Genomic DNA, 17,177 nt, shown 5'->3' with positions numbered 1-17,177 from the left:
ACTATGTCATAGTGGTGTCTTGTAAAAGATCATCCAATCAGACAACACTGTTTTCCTAAATAAAGGCTAGACATTTTCTTTCCAGTTTGATATTGAGCATATAATTAACTCTCCTTCACTTGAAAAATAGGGTTGGCCACCAATGGCCTAGAGGGATCTCTGATAAGGCTTTTACTTTGAAATCCATGAGCGGAAGCTGCTTTGGGAATTATGGCACTGAGTAGGAGCTTTCTCAGCTGCATTACAAAGCGAAAGATATGTAAATCATGAGTCTAAAGAAGTGAAATGGAGATTGTGGTCTGAGTCTACACAGAGTCAGATCAAAGCAACTAGAAAGTTAAAAACGTGAGAAATGTCCACTCTGGCTGTCTCTTATATGCATGAAAAAGAATAGGTACCTTTAAAAAATCATTATAGACATTATACAGAGTGTAACAATCTTAGGTGGTCAGCGACTTTTTTAATCTCAAAACACATTCTGAGTTTAATGTTTCTCCTTTTAATAGTATATTATCTTAGTAGCATTTTTAACAAGATTTCTTTTACTGTTTCACTCCTAGTATAGTTCTGAAAAGGTATTTTTTTAAAAATAGTGGAACATGATGTTTCAAAAGATAATTTGGGGGACTCAAAATTGAGAAATTTTGGGAAAGTAAAGACTTAAAGAAAAATAGCTCTCCTTATCATAGAGGATATGAGCTCTCCAGTGATAACTTGCTTATATTGCCAATGGGTTGAGATGGTCCGAGTTATAAGTTATTTTTTTCATCTGAAGTCATTTTTTATAATGATGCTTCTTAGATCTCATCAACAGTGCTCTGTGGATTAGTACATGCTTAAACAAACAAACACACGTAAACCAAAATCCACACCCTAGTCCTTCATCTTCTCTAATCTCAAAACAGATATATCTATACACACAACGAAGTATAAAAAGTCAGATTAGGTGGTTTCTTTAGATGCACAATTTAGAGTCATCCTTGATGCTTCCTTCTTTCTCATTTCCCAAAGTAAAGATATTGCCAAATCTTGTCAATTCTAGCAGCTAACCTCTGAAATTGGTTTTAAATCCATTCACTCTTCAGTCTTCACTGGCTACATCCTGGACCAAGCCATGGCTTCTCAACCTTTAGTGAGCATCAGAATCACCTGGAGTGCTTGTGAAAACACTGAGTGCTGGGCCCCATCCCCAGATTTGATTTGTAGGTCTGGGTGGCACTCAATAAATCCCAGGGTATGCTGATGCTGCTGGTCTTCACATCACACTCTGAGTAGGACCTGCCTTAATGACCATCATCTCTTATGTGGATTACTCATATGGCAGCAAAAATGTTCTTTGTTAAATGAAATTTTCATCATGTGACTTTCCTGCTTAAAACACTTTGACTGCACTAAGTTGACTCTCAATAGCCTGAGAATAGTCGACAAAATCCCAAGTGATCTAACTTGGTTTACCTACCTTCTCCTATGTGATAAACAGCTATCTGCCCTCCAGCTAAACTGGCCTTCTCTCCGTGTCTCAAATAAGATAGTCTCTCCCAGGAACTTTGCATACGTGGCTCTCTTTGACTAGAATGCTTTCATTCTTTCCTCCATGTAGTCAATTTCTACTCATCCTTCAAAAGTCAACTCAAATATAATTTCCTTGATGAGGTTTTCCTTGAACTCCATATTTGGTCAGATCCCCCTGTTATTCTCTACCATAGGAGCCTGCAACTTGCCTTCAAACTTCCTAATATGTTTGTGTGATTATTTGATTAGTCATTCTCTCTTAATAGACCATAAGGTACAGGAGGGCAAGGTTTATGTTTTCCCTTTTCTTGTATTCTTACGTGCAAAACAGAAGGACTGACCCAAACATAACAGGTATTCTAAACTCTGTGCTCAGATAATGAACTAAATTATTGTAAGATGAATTCAAACTTTGTAATAGTAATACTATTGGTTACAAGAGTGACAGTTAACACTTACTGAGCACATATTATGTGTCAGACACTGTGCAAGGCACTTTACACTTCACTTAAGCCTATGAAACAGATGCTATTACTGTTATTGCCATATTACAGAAGAGAAAACTGAGGCTCGGGAAGTTGAAGTTAATTGCTCAAAATCACATAGTTCATAAGGGACAGAAGCCTTTTGGTCTGGTAGATATGAATGTAGACTCTGAGAGTCAATACAACAAGCATTTATGTGTTTCTTCATATTTTCTATAGCTTACTTTCTTTATCCGATTCTCTTAAATGCTTTTAAGAGCTAAATATTTCTGCTTGCTCTTACAGGCAAGATTAGATATTGTAGGGTTAATCAGCTTGGCTAAGATCACCTACAGCACCTTGGTGACTGTGCAAGGACTCAAACTCGAGCCTTCACACACAAAGGTCACATTTTTTTCCATTCTAACCCACTAGAAATGGTTAAAAATGCTTTCTATGATAAGATAATTTTTACTACATTTTTCTTCTCAAATATGCATCTGAAAATGTGAATTCCTTCGAACATCCTGCAAAGTTGCTAAAGGCCAACATTGAACTACTTCTTAGAGAGCTCTTTCAGCCTTCAGAGCTATTTACATGCCGGAGTTTCTAGGTAGAGTAAAATACGTATTCTTTTCACATTCAGAGTGGTCCCATTGTCTCCATCATCAGGCATGGGGATTTCTGAGTTGTGTGCAAGTTGCTGGCATCAGCTGCATTCTAGCGGCTGTCTTCTCAGGTGCTTTCCCCTGGCCTTTTCTTGCCAGCATGCTCAGGGGACACACTCACTTCTCTCAGCTGCCTTTTTTGTTTACCTCCTTTGTGCCTTTATTGGCCCAACCTCCCAGAGGCGGCTGTGACAGACAGGACTGAGGCAGAGCACAGAGATGTCAATGAACAATCCTTCAGACCCCAGTCCACATGCCTGAATTAAAATGCCTTAGAACAACCCGGTCACTTCCCATACAAACAGATGTTAATTTATCAACCCAGCAGAAAACTCCAGACCACCAATCCCTCTCTCTGTGTAAGACAGAGAATTGAAATATGTTCTCTAAGGAGAGAAAAATAAAATATTCCAGCAAAGGAATTAATGTCTAGAAATAGAAAGAAAAGTGAAGGATGAGGTCAGAGGTCTTTCTTGGGAGGAAAGGTAACCATAAAGTTGAAATAGAAAAGCAAAATGAGTTTATGTGAGAATATAGGGAGACGTATACAACATCTCAAGGCTATTCTAACATGGAAGCAATATAGGGCTTCAATTGAAACAGCAAGAAAAACTATTTATTCATTCGCCCATTCAGCAAATAGCATTTACTATATATCAGGAACTATTCTAGGCACTGTAGATAACAAGATTAATATGGTACCAATGTCACCCTCAAACATGCATAATGAAACAGAGATGCATAAAGAGAAAGTTATAACACAAGGTGGTGCCTACTGTGACACATGGAAACACTGTGTGAAACAGAAGGTCATAGTTGAAAGCCTCATAGATGAAATAGGCTTGAATTGAATCTCAATAGTTTTATTAGCTTAATATGAGGATGGAATTTGGAAGTGGGGAGTAGCATTCCTGGCAGGGGGAACACCGAGTACAAAGGCACAAGGCAAGTTAGAATATGGAAGATTTTTTAAAAAACAAAACTATAAAATAATTAGGCTGAAGTCTGGGATGTGCTGACATGGGAATGATGAGAAATGAAGGGAACAGGGAGGACAGAAACAGGGAAGGATGAGTTTAAAGAGATTGTAGGCTGGGACTAGCTCATGAATGGCTTTATATGCCAGAGTGAAGAGTTTTTATTTATCCTGAAAGGCAACGAGGCACCCCTGAAGGCTCTGTCATAAGACAGTAGCATGTGTTTTGTGGAGATGCACACTTGGGGATTGCAGGACACACTTCAGGAAGACAGCTTTGGAGACAGTGAGGAGAAAAGACTTGAGGGTGCAGAACTGGAGGTTGGTCTGCAGATTGAGATGAGTTATTGTAGCTCTGGACCAAAATTGTAAGGGTCTGACCTAAGACAGTGTCAGGAAGCATGAATTTCTGGTGCCAGTGATTGTGTAAATTTGATGGATGACATAGAGTAAAGGCTCATCACTGAAAAATAAAGCACTATTTTAATATAATTGTAGCCAGTCGATATTATAATTATTCATGTTGCTAGTATAGTTTAAGCATGTGTAAATGATGTAAATTTTGTGTTAATTTTATAATTCCTATCCAACTCAAGAGACATAGATCCTCTTAGCTAAGACCTCACAAAACTTTTGTGGGATCTCGTTGAAGATGGATAGATATTCATGGCTTTCTGATAAGGTAAGGGAAAACTAGAAACCAGCCCACAGGCCAGGGTTCAAAGTTAGTCCAGGGCCAAGCATTAGATTCCAGGCTCCTTAATGTGAGGTTCTGAGGATCCAACACTCTGGGAAATGGGAGTAGGCAGGTTCTTCTGGTGGGAAGAATATCAGGGGTGGAAAGAATATTCATTAAATGGTTATGATGTACAAGGCCACCCTCATGGGCATGCGGTCTGTGCAGTCACATAGACTGCATGCTTAGAAGGGCCCCATGCTTTCATTTAACGCTCTGCTGGTGCTGTCTTGAAATTTTTAGCAACTTTTTAACAAAGGCATCTGCACTTTCATTTGCACATTATGTGGCTGTTCCTGATAATGTGTGCTGAAAAGTGGTTATCTCATTTGGCCCTTCATAAGACACCTATAAGGATGATATTGGATCTCTATTTTAGGAAAGATCAAGCTGGGGCTCAAACAAGCAAAGTCACTGAACTAGAATACATACTTACTGAATGTAGAGAGCTGAGATTCTACTCCAAAACTTTCTGATTCTAGCTATTATTGAGCTACTCCTTCTTTGATAGTTTGTCAATCACTCACCCCAAGGGGTATGTATAGTGCCTGGCATGCCTACCATCCCCTGTCATAGACTAAGGGCAGGTGAGGGAGTGTCATGGGCTTCCTAGGTGGAAAGCTTAGGTTTGCCAGGTGCATGAGCATGACTTAGTATTTCAGAGTACAAGGGGTCAGGAGTCAGAATTGCCAGGACTTGGATCCCAGCCCTCCCACTTAACTTCTCTGTGAATCAGGATCTTTAACTGTGAAATATGATAGTAATAGGATATTCCTCAAAGGGTTGATGAAAGGATTAAATTGAAGCAACAACACAGGCAAAGAGCAGAGCACAGAGCTTGGCCCACAGTGAACGCTCAGTAAATGCTAGCTGCTTCTATTTTATGAAGTTGTCTGTGCAAAGTCAGGTAGTTGCTAAGGCTGACTTTGAAGAAGTGAAAGTATGGAGGAATCTAGTTAGGCAGTATCACTGAACACTAAATCTAAGCCGAAAAAGCTAAGCTAAGCAGTTTCTGATGAATGCACTGCGACCTGATCTCTACGTTTGTCTCACTTTCTTCTCATCATTCTGGCTGCAGAGCGTGGGTCAGTGAAGAGCACTTCAAAAACTGGACTTACGTAAAACTCCTGCTCATTGATTAAGCAATTCAACTTTAGTCATGACCATAGGAAAAGAATAGGCTCTCTCAGAGTAGCTTGTTCAGATAGACGAAAAGAAGAAAAGAAAGACTGCCTACATTTACAAATACAAAGCTTATGTGCAAATAGAAAGATAAACGGCAAGGCAGACTCTCCATACAGGCTGCATGTGCTACCTTCAGTGCACGTACTTTCTCAACCCTTTGCCTTTCTGCTACCATGACTTTGAAGTTGTCTTCCATAAATGCATTTGTGAGATTCACCTCTTGAATGCAAAAGACCTAAGAGGCAAATATAAAATATTAATCTCCTATCAAGACTGAAAATATATATTGGAGAATCTTCATAAAATCTTTTGCCAAAACATAAAGAACAATGCATGCTTTCTATTTGAGGGCATGCAAAGTCTCAGGTAAGGCTTCAGATGAATCAAGCTGGAGAAAGCAACTGAGAGTAGTCACAATAATCTGACCCAACATTCTCGAATACACTTAGTTGAAAGAAGCATGGTAACTGTTTGGTGGCCCTATAGACTTTATGAAAACTGCAAATTTTATAAGCTTCAGAACCAAATGCTCTCTTGCCTGTTGCGACACACACACTCGTCCCCAAATGTGTTTCTAGGAAACTAGATATTGAAGTTGTGCAACACAACTGCACATTCTTTGACACTCTTCTTATCAAGAGGTAGAATTTTGGTCTCCTTCCCATGAATCTGAGTGGACTTGTGGCTGCCCCACTAAATATGGTATGGCAGAAGTTATGCTATGTAATCTCCTAGATGAGTTCACAAAAATTCTTGCAGCTTCTGCCTGGTTCATGAAACACTAGACTACCAGACTAGCGACTACCCAAACCCACCATGCTGACGAGGCCTTGCGTAGGCACTTTGGTTCACTGTCTCAACTGATCTCAGCCTTTCAAGATGCCACACATGAGTGAAGCCATCTTATACCTGCCAAACAGGTGCATTTCCCCACTGAACACCATCAAATACCAACCTCTGCTAACTCCACATGGAAGAAGAATTAGTCACCCATGGCCAACTTAAATTCCTGACCCACAAAATTGTAAGATATAGTTATTGTTATTTTAAGTTGCTAGTTCCTAAAGTAGTTTGTCATAACTGGAACACTAGATAAACTGTTTTGAGTTTCCTTGACTCTACAACCCAGTGAGTAAAAATATGGTCATATATATTACACAGGAAAAATATTACAAGGTCTCATATTCAGGAAACCAAGTCTCCCTGGGGCTCTTCACAAGTACTCCTAACACTCAGAGGAAATGTCCCTATAATCTAGTCCTCTTGGCTTCCAAAGAAGTAAGAATCTAAGTTTTATGCTGTCCTCCAGGCTCACTTGGATGCTTTCAGTTGCTGCCAAGGCTACCATTTATATAAGCCTAATGCCCACGGTGCTAATGACTTTAACATTCTCAACAGCCTGAGGAGAACTTTATAAAAAAATATTGCATTTGCTGTTGTATTGCCTTTCTCTTGGCTTGGACTCTGGTTTGAATCAATGGGAGGGCTAGGTGAGAAGATAATTTTGTTTTGCTCAGAATGATCTTTCCTTTCTCCCCAGGTCTCACTCAATCTTAGAATAAACTATCTTTTTATTTTGTGTGATCTCAAGCCTGGTTTCACTAGCTCTTGATAAAATTAATCCTTGGTTCTTTAGACGTGGTGAAATTCTAAAGCAACTACAAGTGTCGTCCACGCTAGGAACTCTGGTATTCACAAAAACACTCATTTGGATACAACACATTCTATTTAAAAGTACATTCTTGCTGTTGTTCATTTATTAAATGGGTGGGCATGACATCTTTTGCTCTGAAATTTGTATGTTAAGTGAAGAACATTCCATATGCAATGCTATGAGCCCATTACCTAACAGCCAAATGGGGAAGTCACATGTGCTTCAAATTTAAAATTGTTATTTTGGGAATACTCTGAAATTTTACAACCCAAATCATTGTCTCTTTTCCTATTTTGAGTTCCAATTCTGAAATAACTAGATGACATAATCAAATATTCTAAAAATCTTCCAGAGTCATATTGAATAACTAAGTGTAAAAAAACTCATTAAGAATATCTTCTTAGTATTAGAAGCAAAATAATGGATGAGAAGGATATCTACACTGAAAGCTATACGACACTGATGAAAGACACTGAAGAGGAGACTAATAATGGAAAGATAGTCCATGCTCATGGATTGGAAGAATTAATATTGTTAAAATGTCCACACTACCCAACACAATATATAGATTCAATGCAATTCCTATTAAAATCTCAATGACATATCCACAGACAGAAAATAATCCTAAAATTCATATGGAACCACCAAAGACCCAAAATAGTCAAAATGATTCTGACTAAAGAAAAAAAAAGGTTAGAAGCATTTGACTTCCTGATTTAAAATTATATTATAAAGCTATAGTAATAAAAATGTAATAGTGCAGGCATTAAAAACAGACAAAGAACAGGGAAACAGAATAGAGAGCCCAGATATAAATCCAAACATATATGGTGAACTAATTTTGACAAGGACATCAAAAAGACACAAGAGGATAAGGAAAATCTCTTCAATAAATGATACTGGGAAAAAAAACTGGACTTCCACATTCCAAAGAATAAAATTGCATCCATATCATACACCATACACAAAATTCAACTGAAAATCAATAAAAAAAACCTAAATATAAGACCTGAAACCATAAAACACTTAGCAGAAAATATAGGGGAGGAAAAGCTCCTCTCCAAGACATTGGTCTTGGCAATGATTTCTTGAATCTTACACCAAAAATTCAGTCTACAAAAGCAAAAATTAAATAAACAGGACTACGTCAAACTAAAAACCTTCTGCATAGCAAGGGAAACAGTCAACAAAATGAAAAGGTAACCTACAAATTGAGAAAAAAAATTTCAAACCACACATCGAAGATGAGGTCAATATCCAAGATTGATAAAGAACATGTACAACTCAATGGCAAGGAAACATATAACACAAATAAAAAATAAGCAAAGGACTTGAATACTTCTCCAAAGATGACATAAAAATGACCAATAGACATATAAAATGGTGTTCCACATCACTAATCATCAGGGAAATGCAAATTAAAACTACTATGCAATATCATCTCACACCATTAGGATGGCTATTATCAAAAAGACATGAGATAACAAGTGTTGGCAGGGGTGCAGAGAAAAGGGAACCCTTCTAAACTGTTGGTAGGAATGTAGATTGGTGAAGCCATTATGAAAAACAGTATGGGGGTTCCTAAATAAATTAAAAATAGAACTACCATATGACCCAGAAATCTGTCTTCTGAGTATATATTAAAAGAAAAAGATATCTGCACTCCCATGTTCATTGCAGCACTAATCACAACAGCCAAGATATGGGACAAACTTAGGTGTCCATCAATATAAAAATTTGATAAATAAACTGATATATATATATATATATATATATATGAATATTATTCAGCCTTAAAAAAGGAGGAGATCCTGCCATTTGTCACAACATAGATGTGACTTGGAGAACATTATACTGAGTGAAATAAGCCAGACACAGAAAGAAAACTTGCATTATCTCACTTATATATGGAATCATAAGCTGAAAAACAGATCAAATATATAGAGACAAAGAACAAAACAGTGGTTAACATTGGGGTGGGGAGAAAAATTTGGGGGGATGCAGTTCAAAGGATACAAAACAGCAAATATGCAGCATGAACAAGTTGAAAGATCTAATGAACAAGAAGAAGACTATAGTTAATAATAGTGTGTTGTACTTGGGATTTTTGCTAAATGAGTAGCTTACAGCTGCTCTTGCCACAGGGGTGGAAGTGGGTAACTCTGTGAGATAATGGATATGTTAATTTGTTCCACCCAGTAACCATTTTACTATATATATATATATATATATATATATATATATATATATATATATATCCTATAGAGTAATACATATATTAAATATACACAATAAAAATGTTTTTAAGTAAGTAATGTTTCTTACTGTAATTATCTGTCATGAATAGCTCATTGTAAAAGAGGAAGGTCATGAAGAAATTTGCTTCCTTTTTATCAGGATCTGAAATCATAAGACTGAATATGAATATACCTGATTCAGACAGCTTATGTGTACACTTGCATGAACATAGCGTGTTGCCCAAATAGTGGTATGAATAATTCTAATGGTACACAAGATTATTTTAAGGGGAAAACATAAATATCTTACATTTGAATATGTACATATTAGTTAAAATGTGTATTTGAAGCTAAAATATGCAGCTAGCATTATCAAATTTACCTTTAGACATGTTGATGGCTAAAATACCACGAGATCACCACGTTTCCCCATTTGTTTCCTTTGCTCTCTCCCCTTTTCTCCTCTTTTCTTCCTATCTTTCACAGTTCTTCCTTCTTTTCCTCTACCCATCCCAATGCTAAAGAAGCCTCTTCAGCCCTCCCTATTTCCACACAACAGTTTTCATTTATTCAACAGCTTAGGTCAGTTTGAGATTTGCTTCATACATATCCAGCTTGTAAATAGAGGTTCCCCCTTTGGAGGCATTCTCCCTTAAAAAAGAAAGGCAGTTAATTATAAATAAATTATTTTTGCTGTAACAAGTGTGTGTGTGTGTGTATGTAAACACACATACATATATGCATATATATATATATGTACATATATATGTGTGTATGTATCCATATATCCATTTCACAAACAATTGAAAACCTAACATATTAAAAAGAATTGGGCTTTTTGGGGCATTTACTATGTCATCAGATAATTAAATTTTAAAATGTAAAAATAAATAAATTGAAGTGCATCAATCTGTAAATAAAATAAGGGACAATGACTGGGGCAACAAATTGGGACCTGTTCATGACATAACATTTAGACCTGTGTTTAAGTCATTTTTCTACATCACAGTTTCCTCATCTGTAAATAGGAGATAATCCATATTTATTTGAAGGGTTACTGGGAAAATTAAATAAAATAACATATATGCTGGTTGGCATAATAAAATTGATTAGGTCTATTATTACCCAGTATACTTTTTACTTTTCTAATTTAAAAAAAGCTTAAAACAAATGTTTTCATTTAATATTTATTTATGTTTGCCTTCTATTTGAAGTTAGTAATCCTGGTTTTGTATTCATGGTAGTGGCTTAGTTTTCTTTTGCTTACAATTTATTTAAGTAAAATGAAACAGTGAATCAGAATAAAGAAAAACATCAAGTAAGCAATAGCTCAGGAGGTATACACACAGAAATGGCAAACCTTGATGGCGACGTGAGAATGAATGCATTTGTGAGTACAGAGTTATCCACAACCTTATCAAAACTCAAGATTCTCTTTTAAAATAAATAGTTGTATTTCCTTTTTTACTATTTAGAAATAAAAATCATCATAACAAAACTTGCCTACTTATACACATTATTTCCAGATATATATATATATATATATATATATATATATATAGAGAGAGAGAGAGAGAGAGAGAGAGAGAGAGAGAGAGAGAGAAACAGAAAATAAAAATGAAGTTATTTACTCTGTAATATATATCTCAACAAGAAATGCTCAGGTATGACCAACTAGAGCAGAAGATATAATAAAACAGTTGCATAATTGGACCAGTATGTAGAATCACTGCAAATGCTACGCCTCTGAGTGCAGAACACCTGAATATGTGCTCCATCAGACCAACAAGTGCTGTGAGCCACTAATAAGATTTTCTTACATGGTGAAATTCTGAATGTGATAAAGTTCAATCTTCACTCACTTACACTATGGTTTTATTTTTGAAAATTCAGTGGGAAATAAATCCTTTCAAAAAGCACTCTGCATGTTAAGTTCAGGATTCAGGTAGTTAGAATCCAGTGTTTCACCTCCTGGAAAGTCTGACTGGGCATTAGAAAGTCATGCAAGAAACTGGACAATTCTTCAATTGCAAGATCATTCCACACATTACAGTATATTTAGCAACTCTGACTCTTGCCCAATAAATGACAAAAGCATTCTCCTAATTACTGAGTCAAAAACCTCCAGAGATTTGCAAACTTCCCTGGGAGATGGGAGCATCTCCACCTCCACAGAGAATCAGTGGCTTAAGAACAAGGACCTTGAAGTCAAGCAAGAATGTTTATGCATTCGGGGTTTTTTATTTACTAGTTTGTAATCTTGGGCAAATAACTTAACTCCTAATCTATTCAACATAAATGTAACTAGATGTTTTAGGTTGAATTTTATCTTCCCCAAAAGATATGTTGCAGTCTAATCCCCAGTACCTCAAAATGGGACCTTTTTTGAAGATAGGGTCTTTACAGAGGTAATCAAGTTAAAAGGAGGTCATTAGAGTAGGACCAAATCCAATGTGACTGATACCCTCATTTAAAAGGGAAAATTTGGACACAGACCATCACATAGGGAGACCTATATGTAAAGATGAAGGCAGAGATCTGGGTGACACTCTACAGGCCAAGGATCACCAAAGGTTTCCAGCAAACCACCAGCAGCAAAGTGAGAGGCACGGGAGAGATTCTTTCTCACATCCTTCAGAAGAAACCAACCCAGCTATCATCTAGAGGAACTACTAGCTTCCGGAACTATGAGATAACAGATTTCTGTTGTTTAAGCCACTCAGTTTGTGGTACTTTATAATGGTAACCCTAACAAACTAATACATCACAATAATATTTTTTGCAGAATTGGGAATATTATTCTAAGAACAACCTTAAATCTTTGTTCTCTACGTTTTTCTTTCCAGGAAACTGATGATATTGCACCTACTAATATGCAAATAGGTTTGAAAAATAAGCTTTCTGTAGAGAGGATAGACATGTTAAGATAAACATATAAAAGCTAAGGCTGGTACATCCAATCATGATGGTCTTTCATGCTATCAGAGAAGACACAACTTGTTGATATTAAAGTTGATATTAAAGTTGATATTAAAGCCAACAAGCTAGAGTGAGGAAGAAAACAAATAGGACATGACATCTCAGTGTGTCCATCTCAGCTTGAAGGATAACGAGAAAGAATAGGGAAAACCAGAGATGATCTCCCACTATGTGGTTTTATAGCTCTGAAGCATGGAGAAATTGTGTTGGATAGCTTTTTCCATATCACTTTTTCTGTAAGGTCAGGAGAGCAATCATAGCATTAAGGAACAAATAGGCAAAGCAGCACAATCACAGAATGTCAAAATGTATCTGGGGAGGATAAGATAAGCATCTGCTTTCTAAAGCATATTAAAAGAAAATGATCCTTGAAGAAAGGAAGGAGGACACTTGAAGTCATAAGCATATTTTTTAAAACCAGAAATCCAGACATATTTTTAAGTACCCATAGGCTAATAATCAATTTCAATTCCCTTCAGCAAGTATTTACTAAGAAACTACCATCTGATGAACACTGTTTGAGACCCCAGGCGTCAGGCACTGGGGATGTAGAAATGTGCCTTCAAAAGCTCACAACTGTATCTGCAGACAGATATTTATATAAATAGCTATAATGCAGTATGATTAGCCTAAGGTAGATGGCAATTTTCAGTCTTGTAACTGGATCAATTAGTTTTCTTAGAATGTCAGGCAATTCCCCATGGCGACTAACTTAAAGGGAACTGGTGCCTTTAATGATTTCTACCCAAGTGTGTCTAAGGCTGCAGAGACATCTGATTAAAAAACTGAGCTCAAGAAATTCTTGCTCCCAACCTGTACGCCATACTTTCTACCTATCAAGCCTATAAGTCTCCATTGTTTGGTCCTGACACCTAGATTCGGATATTGTGAAGAGGCTTAAAAAGAAAAATACTCATATAGATTTGGAGTGACCTACACAAGGTGCCTATCTTAAGAAGGACAAGTCTGCAGTCAGCGGATATTTCAGACAAAGGAAATCCTTTCCCCTTCGTTCCACCGGATGGCAGCTTTGTCACTCCCTGCCAGTCTGCATTCTCAGCAACATCCTGCATTTTCTTTTATCTCAGGCCTCCTTTCAATGATTATGGTATAATTACACAGAGCTGGAATCCTTTTGTTTTATCATATTTGCTATGTAGGCCTTATGTATTGACACTGGGAAGGACACAATGGTCTGAACTGTGTTTTGAGGTATCCTGTCCCAAAGAGATAGTCTCCAATACTTCATAACTACTATATATCCAAAATCCACATCATCAGGGAATATCCTCCAAGGAAAAATAACTTACAAAAGGGGATGACATTTCCATATGCAGCCTCTCCTTCTTGACATTGATCTCAATACCTCAAAGTAATGAGTAAGATATAGAAGCCAGGGATGCTGCTAAGCATCTACACTGCACAGGACAGCCTTCTACCACAAGAATTACTGACCCAAAATGTCAACAGTGGCAAGGTTGAGAAACCCTGTGTTAGAGTACAATTTAAATATTGTTACACAAGACCCCAAAATAAGTGACTCAAACAAGACAGAAATGCAACAAAACAAGATAGAAATTTTGTTGTCTGGAGTGGAAAGTGGATCTGTAAACATACCCAGGTTCCTTCTATCTTGTTGCTCTGCATTTCATTATGTTATTGTCCTTGTCAAATGGTTGAAACTGGTTTTCTAGCCTTGTCTTAACTTTTTCTTTTTAAGGGAAAGAATAAACATCATTGTAATATTGTTACAACAAATAAAACTGGAACTATCTTTTTTTTTTAGAGCCAGTAAATAAACTTTAGCAACATCTTAGCTATTATTGTTTCTATTTCAAATATACAATTCCTTTTCTTCTTTTAATTTAATTTTATTTCATTTTAACTTCCAGGATACATGTGCAGGATGTGCAGGTTTGTTACACAGGTAAACGTGTGCCATGGTGGTTTGCTGCACCTATCAACGAAGCATTTCCCCTTGAAAACCAGCACAAGACGAGGATGCTCTCTCTTACCACTCCTATTCAACATAATATTGGAAGTTCTGGCCAGGGCAATCAGGCAAGAGAAAGGAATACAGGGTATTCAAATAGGAAAAGAGGACATCAAACTGTCTCTGTTTGCACATGACATGATCTTATATCTAGAAAACCCCATTGTCTCAGCCCAGAAGCATCTTAAGCTGTCTTAACTTCTTAATATATGCGTATTAGTTTGCTTAGGCTGCCATAAGAAAATAACACGGACTAGGTAGCTTAAACGATAGAAATTTATTTTATCACAGCTCTGGAAGTTAGATGTCTAAGATCACGGTGCTGACAGGTTTGGTTTCTCCTGAGGCCTCTCTTCTTGACTTGCAGACAGCTGCCTTCCTGCTGTATTTTCATGTGGTCTTTCTTTTGTGTGTGCACACCCTCAGTGCCTCTTCTGCTTCCTATAAGGACTCTAGTCATATTGGATTAGGTCCCCACCCTTATGGCCTTATTTAACACTAATTATCTTTTCAAAGGCCCTATCTCCAAATACAATCATATTGGGGATTATGACGTCAATATACCTACTTTCTAGGGCACAGTTCTGTCCACACCATGGGAAAGGGAAAGGAGATAAATTAGAGAACAATTTCACTTTCAGTTATTTTACCCAGAGATTGCACAAAATACTCCTTCTCATATATCTTGGCCTAAAACTTAGTTACAAGCCCAACCTAATTACAAAGAATGCTGGGAAATATTTTTTTCTAGTTTGGTAGCCATGCACTAGCTAAAACTCAGGGGATTATGTTACTACAAGGGAAAAGGAAAGCTATTGAAGAAAAAATGAGAATTTTGGATACCAGGAAAATAATAGTTTGTTCTAATTTTTGATCTAGCATTTCTCCCATTTCTCCCTCTTAAATTTACCCTAAGTACCAGGGCCCATTTGCTAATGATATGTATTCCTACATAGAACTCAAGGACTGAGGACACCTTACACACCCCTAGATCCTCTTTGATTCAAAAGAGAGTCACAAAACTGCAGCCACAAGAAAAGACCTAGTATTTCCCCAGAGGCAGTTTGGAGCCCAAGAAAATTTACTCTAACATGAGATGCTAAGTGTCTCCTGTTTTGTGTTTAGAATTTAAGAGCATAGTGAGAAAGGCTCTGTGGCTAGGTAACCGGAAAAGAAAATGCATATGCCAATTTTTTTTTTTAACTGACTTCCTTTTTTGCAGGGAACACACAGATCTCTGTCTTTAATGACTGGAATTGAGATGTAGTTCTTTAAAGGCATAAAATTTGAGAAATACTCCTGGATAAAAGTTATTAATATACAAATAACTATTATACATAACGTATATTTTAAGAATTACCAAAATATAATAGTAACGTACTTTATTTTAACATATATTAACTCAGTTAATATATGTTAACTATTCATTGACATTGAATAGTTATAATTCTAATTCAAAATTTCTAGGCAGTTTATGCTGCTTATGGTTAAAACAAGGCTATCATCCAAGTCATTTGTGGAACTTCTGTAACAGCCTGCATGTATGTGAAATGCCATTAAGCCTTAATGGGAGTTGCGGAGCAATTACTAGGTTGAAAGAAGACGGCCTCTCACTACTCTCCAGTGAGCACGAAAGAAAGCCAACTCACCGTTTTTCTTGTAGAACATAATTTCTCCTTTGAATTCTGTTTTCTCCTCCAGTGACTTTTCTATTTGAAGCATCAGTTGCTCATTGGTTTCAACCCCAAATAAGAACTTGCAGCTACAACTCTTCTGCATGACTTCAGTTCGGGCAAATCCAGCAAGCTCGCAGAAGCCATCGGAACAGTAGACTATGGGGAAACCCTTAGCCACCTGGGCATTGGCAAGGATGAAGTTGCTATCTATAGAAAAACAAGGAGAAGATACTCAGCAACTAGATAAGTGTGAGAATTTATACACAATTCCTGTATAAATTATCAGCATATGTGTTTAGCTAGCTGCCAAAAGGCACATTCTGATGTGCTGCAGTGGAAAAGAGACACTCCAAAACATAAAATGGACTTGACCAGCAGAAGTATGCATTAAGTTCTGACTTAGGCTTGCATTTTGAAACACACTGTGGAAGAAACATACATGTTCACTGGTCTGCTTTGTGGCACCTACCATCTAGTTGGCAGTAAGGGATGATGCTTTTGATCATGGCTTCTGGTTTCATATACTGAATCTGCCATGTAATGTATAGGTGAATTTGAAAAAGTTACTCAAGAACTCTAAACCTCAATTTCCTTAAATCTGCTTTCCCCAAAAGCAAATTCTGAGACTAAGATTTGAGCATAATTAGTTTATTTGGGAGGTGATTCCAGGAAGAAAGCAAGTAGTAAATTGAGATAGGGAAGAGACAAAAGATAATAAAGGGTAAGTTAAAAAGGGGTTCACCACTGTGGGCAAAATACATGGGTCCTGAAATAATTGTGAGGAGTACAACTAAAGGTTGTCCCACAAAGGGGAGAGAAAGCAGAAGTATTTATCCACTAATGTCCACACATAATTGGTTAAAGTTCACTCCTGGGATGTCAATATGTTGACACTTCTGACCTACCCACTTAAGCTAAGTGCACTCTCCAGAGATCACTCTGGCAGCAAGATGCCAGAAAACAGTGGTATATAAGGAAATGGTCTGGATACGATCTCCAGGTGAGTCTAGGTGATATTGGCTGGGCAATGACAGGTATGCTACAATAATAATAATGTTATTTACTTCATAGGTGTGTTGTAGGAATTAATGAGATTA

At 37.0% G+C, this 17,177-nt stretch overlaps 1 protein-coding gene across 5 annotated transcripts in view, besides 2 other annotated features; it reads right to left on the bottom strand.

Annotated features, from left to right (window-relative positions):
* KCNH8 (potassium voltage-gated channel subfamily H member 8) overlaps positions 1 to 17,177 on the bottom strand; it is a 387,133-nt gene that overhangs the window by 265,702 nt on the left and 104,254 nt on the right. For 4 of the 5 annotated variants that reach the window (XM_017005698.3, NM_144633.3, XM_017005700.3 and 1 more), the window contains exon 2: positions 16,054 to 16,287. The exons of the other annotated variant lie outside the window; for it this stretch is intronic. In XM_017005698.3, coding sequence (XP_016861187.1) covers positions 16,054 to 16,287 — 234 coding nt within the window. The remainder of the gene's footprint in view (positions 1 to 16,053; positions 16,288 to 17,177) is intronic. 5 annotated transcript variants of the gene reach the window in all.
* Positions 2,368 to 2,891: an enhancer, noted in NCBI's record as "OCT4-NANOG hESC enhancer chr3:19308542-19309065 (GRCh37/hg19 assembly coordinates)". NCBI's record gives its function as "activates a minimal SCP1, AML or CMV promoter by ChIP-STARR-seq in naive and primed H9 embryonic stem cells {active_cell/tissue: H9 hESC(naive and primed)}" and the evidence as "EXISTENCE:reporter gene assay evidence [ECO:0000049][PMID:30033119]".
* Positions 2,570 to 2,864: a silencer, noted in NCBI's record as "tiled region #372; HepG2 Repressive non-DNase unmatched - State 24:Quies, and K562 Repressive non-DNase unmatched - State 24:Quies". NCBI's record gives its function as "represses a minimal TATA promoter and a strong SV40 promoter by Sharpr-MPRA in HepG2 and K562 cells {active_cell/tissue: HepG2 | K562}" and the evidence as "EXISTENCE:reporter gene assay evidence [ECO:0000049][PMID:27701403]".

This window comes from Homo sapiens, chromosome 3 (assembly GCF_000001405.40).
Source record: "Homo sapiens chromosome 3, GRCh38.p14 Primary Assembly".
Classification (NCBI taxonomy): domain Eukaryota; kingdom Metazoa; phylum Chordata; class Mammalia; order Primates; family Hominidae; genus Homo; species Homo sapiens.
The sequence above is the reverse complement of the archived record's forward strand: the minus strand, read 5'-3'. Positions and strand labels throughout refer to the sequence as shown.